A 19,263-nucleotide genomic window follows, 5' to 3' on the forward strand; every position below is an offset into this window, starting at 1 on the left:
GATGATCTAAGGTGGAACAGCTTCATCTCAAAACCATCTCACCTCACAGTGCATGTAAAAATTGTCTCCCATGAAACCACTTCCTGGTGCCAAAAAGTTTGGGGATCACTGCTCTAGACCAAATGGTACTAATAGACATTTACAGAACATTCCACCCAACAGCTGCAGAATACACATTCTTGTCAACAGCATGTGGAAGTTACTCCAGGATACATCATATGTTTGGCCACAAATAAGTATCAAAAATTTGTTGGTTTTTTATTTTACTTTATTTTCAACTTTTATTTTAGATTGAGGGAGTACATATGCAGGTTTCTTGCAAAGGTCTACTGCATGTTTGTCATATAATTGAACCTGTCACCCAGCTAGTGAGCATAGCTCCCAATAGGTACCTTTTTGACCCTTGCCCCCTTCAAACTCTCCCCAAGCTTATAGTCTCCTGTGTCTATTTTTCTAAACTCTATGTCCATGTGTACACAATGTTTAGCTCCCACTTGTAAGTGAGAACATGCGGTATTTGGTTTTCTGTCTGTGTTAGTTTGCTTAGGATATTGGCCTCCAGCTCCATCCATGCTTCTGCAAATGAATTCATTCTTTTCTATGGGCTGCATAGTACTCTGTGATACCACATTTTCTTTATCCAATCCACCATTGATGGGCACCTAGTTTGATTCCATGTCTTTCCTATTATGAATAGTGCTGCTGTAGACGTGCAGGTGCATGTGTCTTTTAGGTAGAACAATATTTGGCTTTCAATATATACCCAGTGATGGGATGATTGGGTTGGATCACAGTTCTATTTTTTGGGGGGGGGGTTACTTTCAACTTTTACTTCAGAAACAGGGGATACATGTGCAAGGTTTCTAAAAAGGTATATTACATGATGCTGAGGTTTGAGGTATGATTGAACCTGTTACCCAGGTAGTGAGCATAGTATCTGATAGGTTTTCACCATTAACACTTTCCCTTTTATCCTCACCTTGTAGCCCCCAGTGTCTACTGTTCCTATCATTATGTCAATGTTTACCCAATGTTTAATTTACACTTATAAGTAAGAAGATGCGGTCTTTGGTTTTTTAATTTCTGCATTAATCCACTTAGAATAATGGCCTCAGGCTGCATTAATGTTGCTGCAAAGGTCATGATTTTCTTCTTTTTTTGGCTGCATAATATTCCATTGTGTATATGTATCACTTTTTTTATACAATCCACAGTTGATGGATATCTATTTTGAATCTATGTCTTTTTTATTGTGAATAGTGCTGTGATGAACATACAGATCCATGTATCTTCTTGGTAGAATGATTTATATTCCATTGGGTATATACCCAGTAATAGTATTGATAGGTGGAATAGTAGTTCTATTTTTTAGTTATTTGAGTAATCACCAAACTGCCTTCCAAAGAACTGAACCAACTGACATTCCCACCAAATATGTATAAGCATTCTCTTTTCTCTGCAGTCCTGCCAGCATCTGTAATTTTTTTAACTTTTTAATAATAGCCATTCTGACTGGTGTGAGATGGTATTTCTTGGTGGTTTTAATTTTTGTTTCTCCAATAATTACAGTGATGATGAGCATTGTTTTTGTGTGTTAGTTGGATACTTCTATATCTTCTTCTGAGAAGCATCTGTTCATGTGTCTTGTTCACTTTTTCATGGGGTTATTTGTTTATTGCTTGTTTTTTCCAAGTTATCCAATTGAATATCTTTATTTTTATATTCCAGGTCATTTGAAAAATTCTTTTATTAGTGGTGACATTTCTTGTTTAATGATTACTTCTCTTCCTAAACAAAAGTAGTAGTAGAATTTTTAACTAATTAATTAGTTTTATTGTGATAAAATATACTCGCCATAAAACTTACTGTGTTAGCCACTTTTAATTTTTTTAATTATTTTTTATTACAATAGGTTTTTGGGGAACAGGTGGTGTTTGGTTACATAAATAAGTTTTTTAGTGGTGATTTCTGAGATTTTGGTGCACCCATCACCCGAGCAGTATACACTGTACCCAGTATATAGATTTTTATCCCTCACCCTCCTCTCACCCTTTCCCTCGAGTCCCGAGAGTCCATTATATCATTCTTATGCCTTTACATCCTCATAGCTTAGCTTCCACGTATGAGTGAAAACCTACAATGTTTGGTTTTTCATTCCTGAGTTACTTCACTTAGAATAATGGTCTCTAATTCCATCCAGGTTGCTGCAAATGCCAATATTTCATTCCTCTTTATGGCTGAGTAGTAGTATTCCAAGGTATATCATGGTATATCATATTTTCTTTACCTATTCATTGACTGATGGGGATTTGGGCTGGTTCCATATTTTTGCAATTGCAAACTGTGCTGCTATAAACGTGTGTGCAAGTATCTCTTTCTTATAATAACTTCTTTTCATCTGGGTAGTTACCAAGGAGTGGGGTTGCTGGATCAAATGGTAAATCTACTTTTAGGTCTTTAAGGAATCTCTACACTGTTTTCCATAGTGGCTGTACTAGTTTACACTCCCATCAGCAATGTAGAAGTGTTTCTTTTTCAATGCATCCATGCCAACATCTTTTTTTTTTTTATTTGATTATGGCCATTCTTGCAGGAGTAAGGTGGTATTGTATTGTGGTTTTGATTTGCATTTCCCTGATTATTAGTGAAATTGAGCATTTTTTTCATATGTTTGTTGGCCATTTGTATATCTGCTTTTGAGAATTGTCTATTCATGTCCTTACCCCATTTTTGATGGCATTGTTTTCTTCTCGCTAATTTGTTTGAGTTCTTTCTAGATTTTGGATATTAGTCCTTTGGCAGATGTATAGACTGTGGAGATTTTCTCCTGCTCTGTGGGTTGTCTGTTTACTCTGCTGTTTCTTTTGCCATGCAAAAGCTCTTTAGTTTAATTAAGTCTCACCTCTTTATCTTTGTTTTTATTGCATTTGCTTTTGGGTTATTGGTTATGAAATCATTGCTTCAGCCAATGTCTAAAAGGGTCTTTCGATATTATTTTCTAGAATTTTCATAGTTTCAGGTCTTAGATTTAGGTATCTGATCCATCTTGAGTTGATTTTTGTGTAAGGTGAGAGATGAGGATCCAGTTTCATTATCCTAGATGTGGTTAGCCAATTATCCCAGCTTTATTTGTTGAATAGGGTGTCCTTTTCCCACTTTAGGTTTTTGTTTGCTTTGTCAAAGATCTGTTGGCTGTAAATATTTGGATTTGTGGGTTCTCTATTCTGTTCCGTTGGTATATGTGCCCATTTTTACAGCAGTATCATGTTGTTTTGGTGACTATGGCCTTATAGTATAGTTTGAAATTAGGTAATGTGTTGCCTCCAGGTTTATGCTTTTTGCTTAGCTTTGCTTTGGCTATGCAGATACTTTTTGGGTCCCATATGAATTTTGGGAATTTTTCTAGTTCTGTGAAGAATGATCATGGTATTTTAATGGGGATTGCATTGTATTTGTAGGTTGCTTTTGGCAGTATGGTATTTTCACAATATTGATTCTATCCATCTATCAGGATGGGACGTGTTTCCATTTGTTTGTTTCATCTATGATTTCTTTCAGCAGTATTTTGTAGTTTTCCTTGTAGAGATCTTTCACCTCCCGGGTTAGGTATATTCCTAAGTATTTTATTTATTTTGCAGCTATTGTAAAAGGGGTTGAGTTCTTGATTTGATTCTCAGCTTGGTCGCTATTGTATAGCAGAGCTGCTGATTTGTGTACATTAATTTCGTATCCTGAAACTTTGCTGAACTCATTTGTCAGTTCTAGGAGCTTTTTGCAGGAGTTTTTAGGGTTTTCTAGGTATACAATCATATCTTCAGCAAACAGTGACAATTTGACTTCCTCTTTACCGATTTGGATGCCCTTTATTTCCACCTTTTGTCTGATTGCCGTTGCTAGGACTTCCAGTACTGTGTTGAATAGAGGTGGTGAGAGTGGGCATCCTTGTCTTGTTCCAGTTTTCAGAGGGAATGCTTTCTACTTTTCCCCGTTCAGTATTATGTTGGCTGTGGGTTTCCCATAGATGGCATTTATTACACTGAGGTATGTCCCTTGTATGCCGATTTTGCTGAGGGTTTTAATCATGAATGGATGCTGAATTTTGTCAGATGCTTTTCTGCGTCTATCAAGAAGATCATGCGATTTTTGTTTTTAATTCTGTTTATGTGGTGTATTCCATTTAATGACACAAGTCATTAACCTGTTTCTATTAAATGATCCCTGCATCCTGGTATGAAACTCACTTGATCATGGTAGATTATGTTTTTGATATGATGTTGGATTCAGTTATCTAGTATTTATTTGTGGATTTTTGCATCCATGTCCATCAGGGATATTGGTCTGTAGTTGTTTTTTTGTTGATGTTATGTCCTTTCTGGTTTTAGTATTAGGTGATACTGGCTTCACAGAATGATTTAGAGAGGATTCCTTCTTTCTCTATCTTGTGGAATAGCATCAATAGGATTGGTACCAATTCTTTGAATGTCTGGTAGAATTCAGCTGTGAATCCATCTGGTACTGCACTTTTTTTTTTTTTTTTTTGTAAATTTTTTATTACTATTTCAATCTCTCTCCTTGTTATTGGTCTGTTTAGAATTTCTAATTCTTCCTCATTTAAGCTGGGAGAGTTGTATATTTCCAGGAACTTTTCCATCTCCTCTATGTTTTCTAGTTTATGCTAGTAAAGGTGTTCATACTAGCCTTGTGTGATCTTTTGTCTTTCTCTGGTTTGGTTGTAATGTCTCCTGTTTCATTTCTAATTGAGCTTCTTTTCTCTCTCCTTTTCTTGGTTAATCTTGCAACTTGTTGTAATATCATAGACAATGGTTTGGAAGAATTATTATCTTTTTATATATCTATTGGCCATTTGGATTTCTGTTTGCAGAAAGCCTTGATAAAATATTTGGCCCTTTTTTAATTGGGTAGTTTGTTTTATCATTGGTTAATGCTTTGATTGTCCTATTTAAGAAATATTTGCCCATCCAAAGCCATAAAGATATTCTATTATTTTTTAAAGATGCTTTATTCATTTTCCTTTGACACTTAGGTTTTTAATCCATTAGAAACAGGTTTTTGTGTATTGTATGAATTAAGATTGAAAGTTACTATTTTTCTATATATATATTGAGTTATGTCAAAAGTTTTTGTGGTAAAGATTATACTTTCCCCACTGCATTGCAGTGCCATCTTTGTTTTAAATCAGGTAACAGCAACAAGAGCAAGTGGGCTGGATATTATTCTGTTTCATTATCTTAATCCTTGTGTCTATATCTACTATAACTGTAGTATAACTACAGGCTGTACTATATCTATACAATCTGTAATAGTATCCCTTTTTCATTCATGATACTGATCATTTTTGTTTTTTTCTCCCTTTTTCTTGATAAGTCTTGTTACGTGTTCATCGATATTATTAATCTTCTCCACAAATAATCTTTTAAATATGTGCAGAACATGCAGGTTTGTTACATAGGTGTATACGTGCCATGGTGGTTTGTTGCACCCATCAACCAGTCACCTACCTTAGGTATTTCTCCTAATGCTATCCCTCCCCTAGCCCTTCACCCTCTGACAGGCCCCCAGTGTGTGATATTCCACTCCCTGTGCCCATATGTTCTCATTGTTCAACTCCCACTTATGAGTGAGAACATGTGGTGTTTGGTTTTCTCTTCTTGTGATAGCTCGCTGAGAATGATGGTCACATTTTCTTTATCCAGTCTGTCATTGATGGGCATTTGGGTCAGTTCTAAGTCTTTGCTATTGTGAATAGTGCTGCAGTTAACATACATGTGCATGTGTCTTTATAGTAGAATGCGTTATAATTCTTTGGGTATAAAACCAGTAATGGGATTGCTGGGTCAAATGGTATTTCTGGTTCTAGATCGTTGAGGAATCACCACACTGTCTTCTGCAATGGTTGAACTAATTTACACTCCAACCAACAATGTAAAAAGCGTTTTTATTTCTCCACATTCTCTCCAGCATCTATTGTATCCTGACTTTTTAATGATCGCCATTCTAACTGGTGTGAGATGGTATCTCATTGTGGTTTTGATTTGCATTTCTCTAATGACCAGTGATGATGAGCTTTTTTTTGCATATGTTTGTTGGCTGCATAAATGTCTTCTTTTGAAAAGTGCCTGTTCATATCCTTCACCCACTTTTTGATGTTTTTGTTTTCTTGTAAATTTGTTTAAGTTTCTTGTAGATTCTGGATATTAGATCTTTGTCAGATGGATAGATTGCAAAAATGTTCTCCTATTCTGTAGGTTGCCTGCTCAATCTGATGATAGTTTCTTTTGCTGTGCAGAAGCTCTTTAATTAGATCCCATTTGTCAATTTTAGCTTCTGTTGCCATTGCTTTTGGTGTTTTAGTCATGAAGTCTTTGCCCATGCCTATGTCCTGAATGGTATTGCCCAGGTTTTCTTCCAGGATTTTTATGGTTTTAGGTCTTACATTTAAGTCTTTAATCCATGTTGAGTTAATTTTTGTATAAGGTGTAGGAAGTGATCCAGTTTCAGTTTTCCACATATGGCTAGCCAGTTTTCCCAGCACCATTTATTAAATAGGGAATCCTTTTTCCATTTCTTGTTTTTGTCAGGTTTGTCAAAGACTAGATTGTAGTAGATGTGTGGCATTATATCTGAGGGATCTGTTCTGTTCCTTTGGTCTATATCTCTGTCTTGGTACCAGTACCATGCTGTTTTGGTTACTGTAGCCTTGTAATATTGTTTGAAGCCAGGTAGCATGATGTCTCCACCTTTGTTCTTTTTGCTTTGGATTGTCTTGGCTAAATGGGCTCATTTTGTTCCACATGAAATTTAAAGTAGTTTTTTCTAATTCTGTGAAGAAAGTCAATGGTAGCTTGATACGGATAGTATTGAATCTATAAATTACTTTGGGTAGTATGGCCATTTTTACAGTATTGATTCTTGCTATCCATGAGCATGAAATGTTTTTCCACTTGTTTGTGTCCTCTCTTATTTCCTTGAGCAGTGGTTTGTACTTCTCCTTGAAGAGGTCCTTCACATCCCGTGTAAGTTGTATTCGTAGATATTTTATTTTCTTTTTAGCAATTGTGAATGAGCGCTCACTCATGATTTGGATATCTATTATTGGTATATTGGAATGCTTGTGATTTTTGCACATTGATTTTGTATCCTGAGACTTTGCTAAAGTTGCTTATCAGGTTAAGAAAGTTTTGGGCTGAGAGATTGTAGGTGATCAAGAAAGGCCTTATAGTTTCACTTAAGTCTTGAAATCTGGTTATCCATCTGGCATATTAATTGTGAAATGTATTATAAGCAGAGGAAATGGCATAAACAAAGTTATAAATGAGCATCAAAATAGCCTGTTCTTTGCGGAAAATTGCAAACAATTTGTTATGGCTTCTGTTTAGGTATCAGGTTGCAGAGAGCTTTGTATACAAGCTAAAGGAATTTTGACTTTATCCTCTATGCCAGTAGATTTTTAAATCTGTATTCTAACTAGTCCTTTTCCATATAGGCTCTGCAGACCCTTAGAACCATCCCCAGAAAGAGAGAATAGCCTAATAAGTAGGGACCCTGTTTCCATCAGAGTAGCTCTGGTTTTGCTTGTTTTATATTGAAGTTCTTCGTTGGACTCTATTAGGAAAAAAAATTCACTGCTTTTAAGAGAGCTAGTAAAATTGTGAAACTACTGCAATGAGATATAAGAAGACCTGAAAAGTTTTAACCAGGAGAAAAAGTATTTAAGATAGATTAAACACCATAATGAAATACAACATGCAGGGATCATGTCTTATTTTGGGCGGCTAACCTGACTGTCTATCCTTTCAGGTGTGGTTCCCAACAAAGGTCAGTTTCCCTTGGCTGTGGGAGCCCAGGAGTTGTTTCTGTGCACTGGTCCTATGTGCCGTTATGCTGAAGACCTGGCCCCCATGTTGAAGGTCATGGCAGGACCTGGGATCAAAAGGTATGTTCATTTATTTTTATTTCCTTGGACTCTTATCCTGACATTCATTCTCTCTTTGTTTATTAGTGTCATAGAGGTAGACTTTCAGTCCTCAAGCAAATAATTTTTACAGGTTTTTATGAGAGAGCCTTTATATACTTATATAAGTGGATACCATGCTTCACAAATTGGAAAGATGCCATGTAAAAGTATTTTACTGAGAAAATACAAAGAGAGGCCTTATTTTTGGGAAGGAAACAGTGAATCTTTTTGTTTTTCATTTGTGAATTTGTGCATAAGGACTACGTTCACTTTAAGTTCAGCCTTTCTGATTCTTCTGACATCTGTCACCATATACATACTTTCCAATCTCACCTAGGCATCAACGCTGCTTGGAAATTGGTTCCCTAGACAGCTCTTTTTTAATATATTTTCTGTAGCAGTCATTTCAAATTATTTCCATTTCCAGCGAAACTCTGATCTTCTCCTTTCCTTTACCCTCAAGTAAATAATCCCACATTTTATCTCATAAAAAAATGCAATCTATATGTAACTTACTTCAGTTTCTTACCATCACATTTTTCTAGGTCTCCAGCTTTCATTCTTTCTCCTCTTAGAGTGGAGAAAATATCTTTCCATTTTGCTTTAGCATATAAGTAGTTTCAGTTATGCTCTTGATCTTATGTTCTCTTATTCTCTCAGATCTTTGTTCCATTACTTATCTCATCTTAGTATGACTTTAACCTCTCTCTCTCTGTCTCTCTCGCTCTCTCTCTCTCTCACACACACACACACACACACACGTGTGCGCACCCTTCTCATTATTATTAAGCATCCTAAGTGTCTCTCATCTTAAAAAGAGACAACATTTTTTTAGCCCCTTATTCCCCTTAAGCCACTACTCTATGCCGCTTTTTGCCCCATTGCCAGATCCTTTGTGTGAATTATTTATACTCATTAACTCTAAATTCTCACATTGCCATCTCATAAATGAATTCACTACAAAGTGGTTTTTACCACCAAAATTATTCTTGCCAAAGTCCCTGAATTTTTTTTTTTTTTGCATTTTTGCTAAAAATAATGACTGCTTCTCAATACTTACCATTCATTACCTCATTATAACTGGTGGCAATATTGATATTACTCCATCATTATTGAAACAAACTCTGCCCTTGGCTCTTGTGATTCAATCATTTTTAAAATTATTTTTAATTTTTGTGGGTACCTAACAGGTGTATATATTTTTGGGCTACATGAGATATTTTGAAGCAGTCATGTAATGCATAATAATCGCTTCATGGAAAATGGGGTAGGTATCCATCCCCTTAAGCATTTATCCTTTATGTTATGGACAATCCACCCTTTTGATATTGCTCCTTTTCCTTTCATCTGCCTTACTGGCTCTTCTTCCTTTGTTCATCTCTTATATATTGGTATTCTAGAAGGACCTGGTTTACTTATCTCTATTCTTTCTACTTACCCTCTCAGAATGACTCCATCTACCCTTGCCACTTCAACCATTTTCCATACACAGATGATGCCAAAATCTGCCTCTTCAGCTCACTTTTTTCACTTAAGCTAGAGGACTGTCTATTTACTACTACAGGAAGACTGGCCATTTCAGATAACTGAGACTCAATATATCTAAAACTGATATTATTTTTCTTTCAAGCTCCAGAAACCTGATCCACTACTTTGATTCTTACCCAATCCCAGTGACTGGATGACCAAAATCAACCCAGTTGCTAAAGCCTCATTTCCGATTTTTCTCAGTCATTACATCTAAGCAATGCTGAGTCATATTGAAATTACCTACTAATGATTTCTTACATCTTTACATATCTCTCCCTTACCATGGTTACAGTTCTAGTTCAGGCTATAATCATTTCTAGCATGAACTACCACCAAAACATTTTGACTTGTCACCACGTCTACAATTTTGATGCATTTCAAACCATTCTCTCCCTTGCAGCTCAAGTACATTTTTTAAATGCAAATCTAAATTCTAAAGGTATAATACTGTTTCTGGCACACAGTGCTCAGGGAAAAAAATACTTCATTAGAGCTGAAGCTCAGATGTCAGGATTGAACTATTAAGGATATCTAAATAATTTGTTGATGTCAGTTTCTTTTTAATCCTACACAGGTTAAAACTAGACACAAAGGTACATTTAAAAGACTTAAAATTTTACTGGATGGAACATGATGGAGGCTCATTTTTAATGTCCAAAGTGGACCAAGATCTCATTATGACTCAGAAAAAGGTAATTTTAAATAAAATTTGTTTAGGAATTATTTTTAGTCAAAGAGATATCCTTCTGAGCCCTTTACTTCACTTACTGCCAAATATTTCTGTGTCAGCATACGGAATTAAGGTTTTCAGAACAGTTATACTAAGGAATTTTGGATGTAATTTTTCATGGTTATTTTAGATATTTTATTTTTTAGTAATGAAATGAGTACTTTGAAAATAAAGTATGATAAATCAAATAAATAAATTGCTCAGAGGTAACTGTCATTAATAATTTGGTATGTATCTATCCAGTGATTCTCCTATGCTAATGTGTAGATGTAAATTTTAGGTAATAGAGACAACATTATATATGCAATCATTTTAGCCTGAGCTTTATTTTAAAATACTTTTATAATCAGATGAAATAATAGCACAAATTTGTCTTTTTAAAAGCAAGAGTTCATTTGGGAAAGAAGAATAATAAGGGGAACAGACCTACCAAATTTTAAAAGTAATTTTTAAACTACTATTCAATGTAATAATAATACAGCTTATTACGTGGAAGCAATGGAAGACAAAGAAGGCCCTTACATAATGGTAAAGGGATCAATTCAACAAGAAGAGCTAACTACCCTAAATATATATGCACCCAATACAGGAGCACCCAGATTCATAAAGCAAGTCCTTAGAGACCTACAAAGAGACAGACTCCCACACAATAATAATGGGAGACTTTAACACGCCACTGTCAACATTAGACAGATCAATGAGACAGAAAATTAGCAAGGATATCCAGGAATTGAATTCAGCTCTGCACCAAGCAGACCTAATAGACATCTACAGAACTCTCCACCCCAAATCAACAGAATGTACATTCTTCTCAGCACCAAACCACACCTATTCCAAAATTGACCACATAGTTGGATGTAAAGCACTCCTCAGCAAACGTAAAAGAACAGAAATTATAACAAACTGTCTCTCAGACCATAGTGCAAACAAACTAGAACTCAGGATTAAGAAACTCGCTCAAAACCGCTTAACTACATGGAAACTGAACAACCTGCTCCTGAATCACTACTGGGTACATAACGAAATGAAGGCAGAAAAAAAGATGTTCTTTGAAACCAACGAGAACAAAGACACAACATACCAGAATCTCTGGGACACATTTAAAGCAATGTGTAGAGGGAAATTTTTAGCACTAAATGCCCACAAGAGAAAGCAGGAATGATCTAAAATTGGCACTCTAACATCACAATTAAAAGAACTAGAGAAGCAAGAGCAAACACATTCAAAAGCTAGCAGAAGGCAAGAAATAACTAAGATCAGAGAAGAACTGAAGGAGATAGAGACATAAAAAACCCTTCATAAAATCAATGAATCCAGATGCTGGTTTTTTGACAAGATCAACAAAATTGAGAGACCGCTGGCAAGACTAATAAAGAAGGAAAGAGAGAAGAATCAAATAGACGCAATAAAAAATTATGAAGGGGATATCACCACCAATCCCACAGAAGTACAAACTACCATCACAGAATACTATAAACATCTCTATGCAAATAAACTAGAAAATCTAGAAGAAATGGATAAATTCCTGGACACATACACCCTCCCAAGACTAAACCAGGAAGAAGTTGAATCTCTGAATAGACCAATAACAGGCTCTGAAACTGAGGCCATAATTAATAGCCTAGCAACCAAAAAAAGTCCAGGAGCAGACAGATTCACAGCCAAATTCTACCAGAGGTACAAGGAGGAGCTGGTACCATTCCTTCTGAAACTATTCCAATCAATAGAAAAAGAGGGAATCCTCCCTAACTCATTTTATGAGGCCAGCATCATCCTGATACCAAAGCCTGGCAGAGACACAACCAAGAAAGAGAATTTTAGGCCAATAACCCTGATGAACATCGATGCAAAAATCCTAAATAAAATACTGCCAAACCGAATCAAGCAACACATCAAAAAGCTTATCCACCATGATCAAGTGGGCTTCATCCCTGGGATGCAAGGCTGGTTTAACATACGCAAATCAATAAACGTAATCCAGCATATAAACAGAACCAAAGACAAAAACCACATGATTATCTCAATAGATGCAGAAAAGGCCTTTGACAAAATTTAACAACACTTCAAGCTAAAAGCTCTCAATAAATTAGGTATTGATGGGACGTAGCTCAAAATAATAAGAGCTATCTATGACAAACCCACAGCCAATATCATACTGAATGGCAAAAACTGGAAGCATTCCCTTTGAAAACTGGCACAAGACAGCGATGCTGTCTCTCACCACTCCTATGCAACATAGTGTTGGAAGTTCTGGTCAGGGAAATCAGGCAGCAGAAGGAAATAAAGGGTTTTCAACTAGAAAAGAGGAAGTCAAATTGTCCCTGTTTGCTGATGACATGATTGTATATCTAGAAAACTCCATCTTCTCAGCCCAAAATCTCCTTAAGCTGAGAAGCAACTTCAGCAAAGACTCAGGATACAAAATCAATGTGCAAAAATCACAAGCATTCTTATACACCAGTAACAGAAACAGAGAACCAAATCATGAGTGAACTCCCATTCACAATTGCTTCAAAGAGAATAAAATACCTGGGAATCCAACTTGCAAGGGATGTGAAGGACCTCTTCAAGGAGAACTACAAATTACTGCTCAATGAAATAAAAGAGGATACAAACAACTGGAAGAACATTCCATGCTCATGGATAGGAAAAATCAATATCATGAAAATGGTCATACTGCCCAAGGTAATTTATAGATTCAATGCCATCCCTATCAAGCTACCAATGACTTTCTTCACAGAATTGGAAAAAGCTACTTTGAAGTTCATATGGAACCAAAAAAGAGCCCACATTGCCAAGTCAATCCTAAACCAAAAGAACAAAGCTGGAGGCATCATGCTACCTGACTTCAAACTATACTGGAAGACTACAGTAACCAAAACAGCATGGTACTGGTACCAAAACAGAGATATAGCCCAATGGAACAGAACAGAGCCCTCAGAAATAATGCCACACATCTACAGCTATCTGATCTTTGACAAGCCTGACAAAAACAAGAAATGGGGAAACAATTCCCTATTTAACAAATGGTGCTGGGAAAACTGGCTAGCCATATGTAGAAAGCTGAAACTGGATCCCTTCCTTACACCTTATACAAAAATTAATTCAAGATGGATTAAAGACTTAAATGTTAGACCTAAAACCATAAAAACCCTAGAAGAAAACCTAGGCAATACCATTCAGGACATAGGCATGGGCAAGAACTTCATGTCTAAAACACCAAAAGCAATGGCAACAAAAGCCAAAATTGACAAATGGGATCTAATTAAACTCAAGAGCTTCTGCACAGCAAAAGAAACTACCATCAGAGTGAACAGGCAACCTACAGAATGGGAGAAAATTTTTGCAATCTACTCATCTGACAAAGAGCTAACATCCAGAATCTACAATGAACTCAAACAAATTTACAAGAAAAAAACAAACAACCCCATCAAAAAGTGGGCAAAGGATATGAACAGACACTTCTCAAAAGAAGACATTTATGCAGCCAAAAGACACATGAAAAAATACTCATCATCACTGGCCATCAGAGAAATGCAAATCAAAACCACAATGAGATACCATCTCACACCAGTTAGAATGGCAATCATTAAAAAGTCAGGAAACAACAGGTGCTGGAGAGGATGTGGAGAAATAGGAACACTTTTACACTGTTGGTGAGACTGTAAACTAGTTCAACCATTGTGGAAGTTAGTGTGGGGATTCCTCAGGGATCTAGAACTAGAAATACCATTTGACCCAGCCATCCCATTAGTGGGTATATACCCATAAAGACACATGCTATTCACAATAGCAAAGACTTGGAACCAACCCAAATGTCCAACAATGATAGACTGGATTAAGAAAATGTGGCACATATACACCATGGAATACTATGCAGCCAGAAAAAATGATGAGTTCATGTCATTTGTAGGGACATGGATGAAGCTGGAAACCATTATTCTCAGCAAACTATCACAAGGACAGAAAACCAAATACCGCATGTTTTCACTCATAGGTGGGAATTGTACAATGAGAATACTTGGACACAGGAAGGGGAACATCACACACCAGGGCCTGTTGTGGGGTGGGGGGAGTGGGGAAGGATAGCATTAGGAGATATACCTAATGTGAATGATGAGTTAATGGGTGCAGCACACCAACATGGCACATGTATACATATGTAACAAACCTGCATGTTGTGCACATGTACCCTAAGACTTAAAGTATAATAAAAAAAAAAAAAAAAGACATGTAAAACTAGAAGAAACTTGATTGTGGTAAAAGATGGCTTTTATATTCTATCTTTGTTTTCTGCCACCATGAAAAAATGCCTGTGACTCAATAACTTATAAAGAATAAAAATTTATTTCTCACACACCTGAAGACAGGAAAGTCCAAGATCAAGGTTCTGGCAGGTTCAGTGTCTGGTGAGGGCCATCTTACTGCCTTCTCCAGAGGGGAGAAACATGGCAGAAGGGTGGAAGAGACAGCTGCTAAGGCTGCATAAAGCCTTTGTAAAAATGGCTGTAATGGCATTAACTAGGGCAGCCCTCATGGCCTAATCACTTCTTTAGGGCCCCCCTCTTAATAATAATGCATTAGCAACACCTGAATTTTGGAGGCGATCTATTCAAACCATAGGTCAGGACATCCAGGCCATCCTGGCTAACACGGTGAAATCCCGTCTCTACTAAACAAAATACAAAAAATTAGCCGGGCGCGGTGGCGGGCGCCTGTAGTCCCAGCTACTCGGGAGGCTGAGGCAGGAGAATGGCGTCAACCCGGGAGGCGGAGCTTGCAGTGAGTGAAGATCGCACCACTGCACTCCAGCCTGGGCGACAGAGTGAGACTCCGTTAAAAAAAAAAAAAAATAGCATAAGTGGATACATTACTGTGTTACTAGATTTGAAAGTCATGTTATAAAATTATACGTTATTTTTAAATCTATAGGGAAAATGTAATTCATATAAAAACTCAGTGGATTTTTAAATTTCTTTTTGTAATGCTTAATGAGGATAAAAGAAAAGTGAGATCTTCATAAGTTATAAGCCCAGAAACAGAATTTCTTCCTATATTAATTTTTACGTGTATTAAGATAGCTTCACATATCTGAATTAATAATATCTAAATGAAAGAAATCATAGAAAATACTGCCAATAAAAATGATAGAGGATTATTAACAGGCTATAACCTATTATAAGAGAAATACCACCAGGGACATAGGTAAAGGAGAAAGGTAAATTATAAAAGAAGTTATATAAGTGAACAATAAAAACACAAGAAATGTTAAGACTTATAAGTAATTAAAGGAAAAACTATAGAAAAATTAAGGTACTATACCTTCGTTGCTTGGGTTGATAAACCATAGAATGCTAGTGGCAAAGCAAATTGGTACTTTCCTGGCGAGCTGGAGGATAAATGCAAAATTATGAAGCCAGGAGCAGGAGGAAAAAAGTAAGTGAATGGAAGTAAATTACTTACATTGAACTTTTAGTCCAATGTAATTTGCTCTCACAGTAGAATTACCTCCCTTCCTGTTCTGTAGCTTTAGCAAAAATTCTAATAACTTAATGTACAGACTCTTCATTACCAAATTCTCTAGCCAATTTAATATTCTGACCCCAAACCCTTCCCTTTACGGTATTAAAACCATATTTTTGCTGGCCTGAAATTCATGTGTATGAAAAGCCAATTTTCCTAAATGGGTTTTTTCACTGTTGATACTAATCAAGAGTCTCACTGTTATTGAAACTTTCTCTGCAGTGTCAGAAGTGACAGTGTTGCAGACCTCATCACCTGTTGGCATCAGGTAGCAGGGAGAGCTATCACAGAATAGTTTAGTTTGAAATAATAGTTTAAAATAGTCACATGCTAAAAAAGAGACAGATTGAAATACATGTGAATTCATTTAGGAGTTTCATTTCATATTGGATAAGTTTAGAACAGGCTCTAGTGAAGATTGGTGTATGGAATACAAGGATCTATACTACTGTTGTATGCTTTACAAGTTGGTTCCATAAGAGAAATTTTATAACCTAAATATTTTTCCAGAAAGCATTTTATAAAATTCAGATGTCTGTTTCTGATTAAAAATTATTTTTTGCCATACTATGTTCTTTTTATATTATATGCATGAAATCCAGGGCAATCTCTTTAAAATATAAAGTTAGATAAGCATGCTAACCATCACCATTATTATTTATAGAAAGTATGCCAAGGATAAATTAGAAATAAGAGGTATGACTATGAAAAAAGACAAATCAATAATTATTTATAGATTAAGATATGAGTATATTCTTGTAAAACTCAAGGAGTGCTATTTTAAAACTCTTAGAATAAATGAGTTCAACCTAAAATAGGATGTACGATGAAAATGAGAAAAACCATAGCTAACATATCAGCAATAACCAGATAAAAAGTAGAATGAGGAAAACAGAGAAGACAAACAGAAAATCCTACAAAATGCCTACAGACTCTAAAAATAAGGTTGTAGAACCTACCAGAGAAAAATTACAGAACTTTACTAAGAGTCCTAAAATGAGTTTTGAATAAAAAAAGAAACTTAGTTTTATAGCTTGAGTTGTTGGTGGATAGATCCCATAGCCTATATAATCCCTGTCACTGGGATTACAAATATCATTCCATTTTATAAAGTTCCTAGGCACACTCCAAAATTCCATCACAGTGATAAATGCATTTCTGAAACACCAACAGGCCTGCTGTTCTATAATCTGTCATTGCATAAATTAATTTATGTATCTTTGTTTCTGTATATTTTCTGAAAAGGAGGAAGTGGAGGAACATGAGAATGAGTGATGTGTGTATCTGAGGAGGGAGGAGGTAAATAGAGAAAGACATTATTACATCATTGGAGGTGGGGTAAGGATGTGTGCCACCTCCACCATTCCCAAGCTATTGTCAGAAAAATACCATGTTTTAGGACAGGATGGCTATATTTTATAGCAATTAAAATCAAATTAGCAACTTTTATTATGGAAGTTGAGAAAATGATGTTAAGGTTCTCCTGTCAGAATAAATAGCCAAGAAGAAATGAAAACTTTTGACTCAGGAGAATAAAAATATTAAGGATTTAGTATTCCAGAATTTTAATATGGCATAATACATTTAAATATTTCTCTAAAGTTAATAACTTTATATAGCAATTTGAACTTTATCCACTTTCAGGTTCAATATAAAGAGGGAGCTTTTTTGATTTTGTAGCAGAAACTCAATAGTTGCTAACTGATGTTGGTCTGTAATTCTTTCTAAGTCAGAATAAAAGGAAAGGAGTTAGGACATCAAACTTTGTGGGGGATATTTTATAATCCAGGTCTTTTTATCATTTCTATATTTCCTAGCAACACCTTACTTTTACCTATTTTGTAGAAAAATATGCCAAGGCCTTGTGTGCTGTTGGATTTTTTTATTAGCAGATTTTATTTTTAGAACAGTTATATATTTACCAAAAGATTGAGCAGATAGTACAGTGTCCATGGGTAGCCCCTCTTTCTTTCACTAGTAGGGTACATGTTTCATGACTGATGAAACAATATTGATATATTATTAACTAAACTCCATAGTTTACATTAGTGTTTATATTGTACAGTTTTACAGCATTTGACAAATGCATAATGCCATGTAACTATCATTACAATATCATACAGAATAGTAGTTTTTACCACTCAAAAAACTTCTGTGCATCACTTATTTATTCATACATTCTCTCCACTCCTACTGGAAACCACAGATTTTTTACTGTCTTTATACTTTTGCCTTTCCCCTAATATCATATATTTAGAATCTAAATTATGTAACCGTTTTATACTTGCTTCTTTCACATTGAAATACGCATTTAAGTTCCCTCCATGTCTTTTCGTGGCTTGGTAACTCTTTTTATCTCTGAATAATATTTCATTTTAAGGATGTGCCACCATTTTTTACCTATTTACCTAGTAAAGGACATCTTGGTTGTTTCAAAATATTGTTATCTTTGAACAAAAGCTGTTATAATCATTTATGTGCACCTTTTCCATAGACATGTTTTCTATTCAATTAGGTAGTACCAAGGAACACAATATACTTTGCTTTGTTAGAAATCTTGAGATTGTCTTCCAAAGTGGGTTTGTTATGGTACTCCAGAGAAGCAGAAGAAATTCCTTCTGCTTCTCTGGAGTACCCTAATTTTAGTACCCTTACACACACACATACACACGCACACACACACACACCTACACACACACACACATATATATATATACATATATAATATATAATGACTAATACAAATGAAAGTTTGTACCCTCTGACCAATATAGCTTTATTTCATCCCCTTACCCCACCCCAATTCCTGGCAACTACGATTCTACTCTCTACTTCTAGGAATTTGACTTTTTTAGATTACATAAATAAATGATATTATAAAACATTTGTTTTTCTGTGTCTGGTTTATTTCACTTAACATAATGCCCTTCAGGTCCATCTATATTGTTGAAAATTGCAAAATTTTCTATACTTTTAAGGCTGAATAATATTCCAGTGCATGTATATACAGCATTTTCTTTATCCATCCATCAACACACACTTAGGATGTTTTAATATCTTAGCAATTATATATAATACTGCAGAGAACATGGGATTGCAGTTACTTCTTAGAGATCCTGATTTGAATTACTTCAAATATATTACTAGACGTAGCATTGCTGGATCATATGGTAGTTCTATTTTTAATGTTTTGAATGGCTGTACAAATTTACATTTCTACCACAGTGTACAAGGTTTCCCTTTTCTCCCTGTCCTCACCAACACTTACCTTTAAAAAAAAATAATAGCTATGCTATTGGGTGGGAGGTGACATCTCATCTTGGCTTTGGTGTGCATTCACCTGATGATTAGTGTTGTTGATTTTTTTTTTTCATATACCTAGGGGCCAGTTGCATGTCTCCTTTGAAGAAATGTCTATTCAGGTTGTTTGCCAATTTTTCAATTAAGTTATTTGTTTCTGATAAGTTCTATGAATTCCTTGTATATTTTGAATATTAATCCTATA

General features: G+C 35.5%; 1 protein-coding gene across 18 annotated transcripts in view; it reads left to right on the top strand.

The window, feature by feature from the left end:
* The window catches only part of FAAH2 (fatty acid amide hydrolase 2), a 367,606-nt gene that overhangs the window by 249,242 nt on the left and 99,101 nt on the right, over positions 1-19,263 (top strand). For 16 of the 18 annotated variants that reach the window (NR_148564.2, NR_148557.2, XM_011530767.4 and 13 more), the window contains 2 exons: positions 7,819-7,954; positions 10,080-10,197. Coding sequence is in view for 16 of the 18 variants with exons in the window: in XM_011530767.4 (XP_011529069.1) it covers positions 7,819-7,954; positions 10,080-10,197 (254 nt within the window). In the remaining 2 variants the exon portion in view is untranslated. Of the gene's footprint in view, positions 1-7,818; positions 7,955-10,079; positions 10,198-10,716; positions 18,643-19,263 lie in introns of those variants that run through there. The other 2 variants (XM_005261986.5, XM_047441863.1) reach the window with 2 other exon arrangements.

Source organism: Homo sapiens, chromosome X, assembly GCF_000001405.40.
Source record: "Homo sapiens chromosome X, GRCh38.p14 Primary Assembly".
Lineage (NCBI taxonomy): Eukaryota > Metazoa > Chordata > Mammalia > Primates > Hominidae > Homo > Homo sapiens.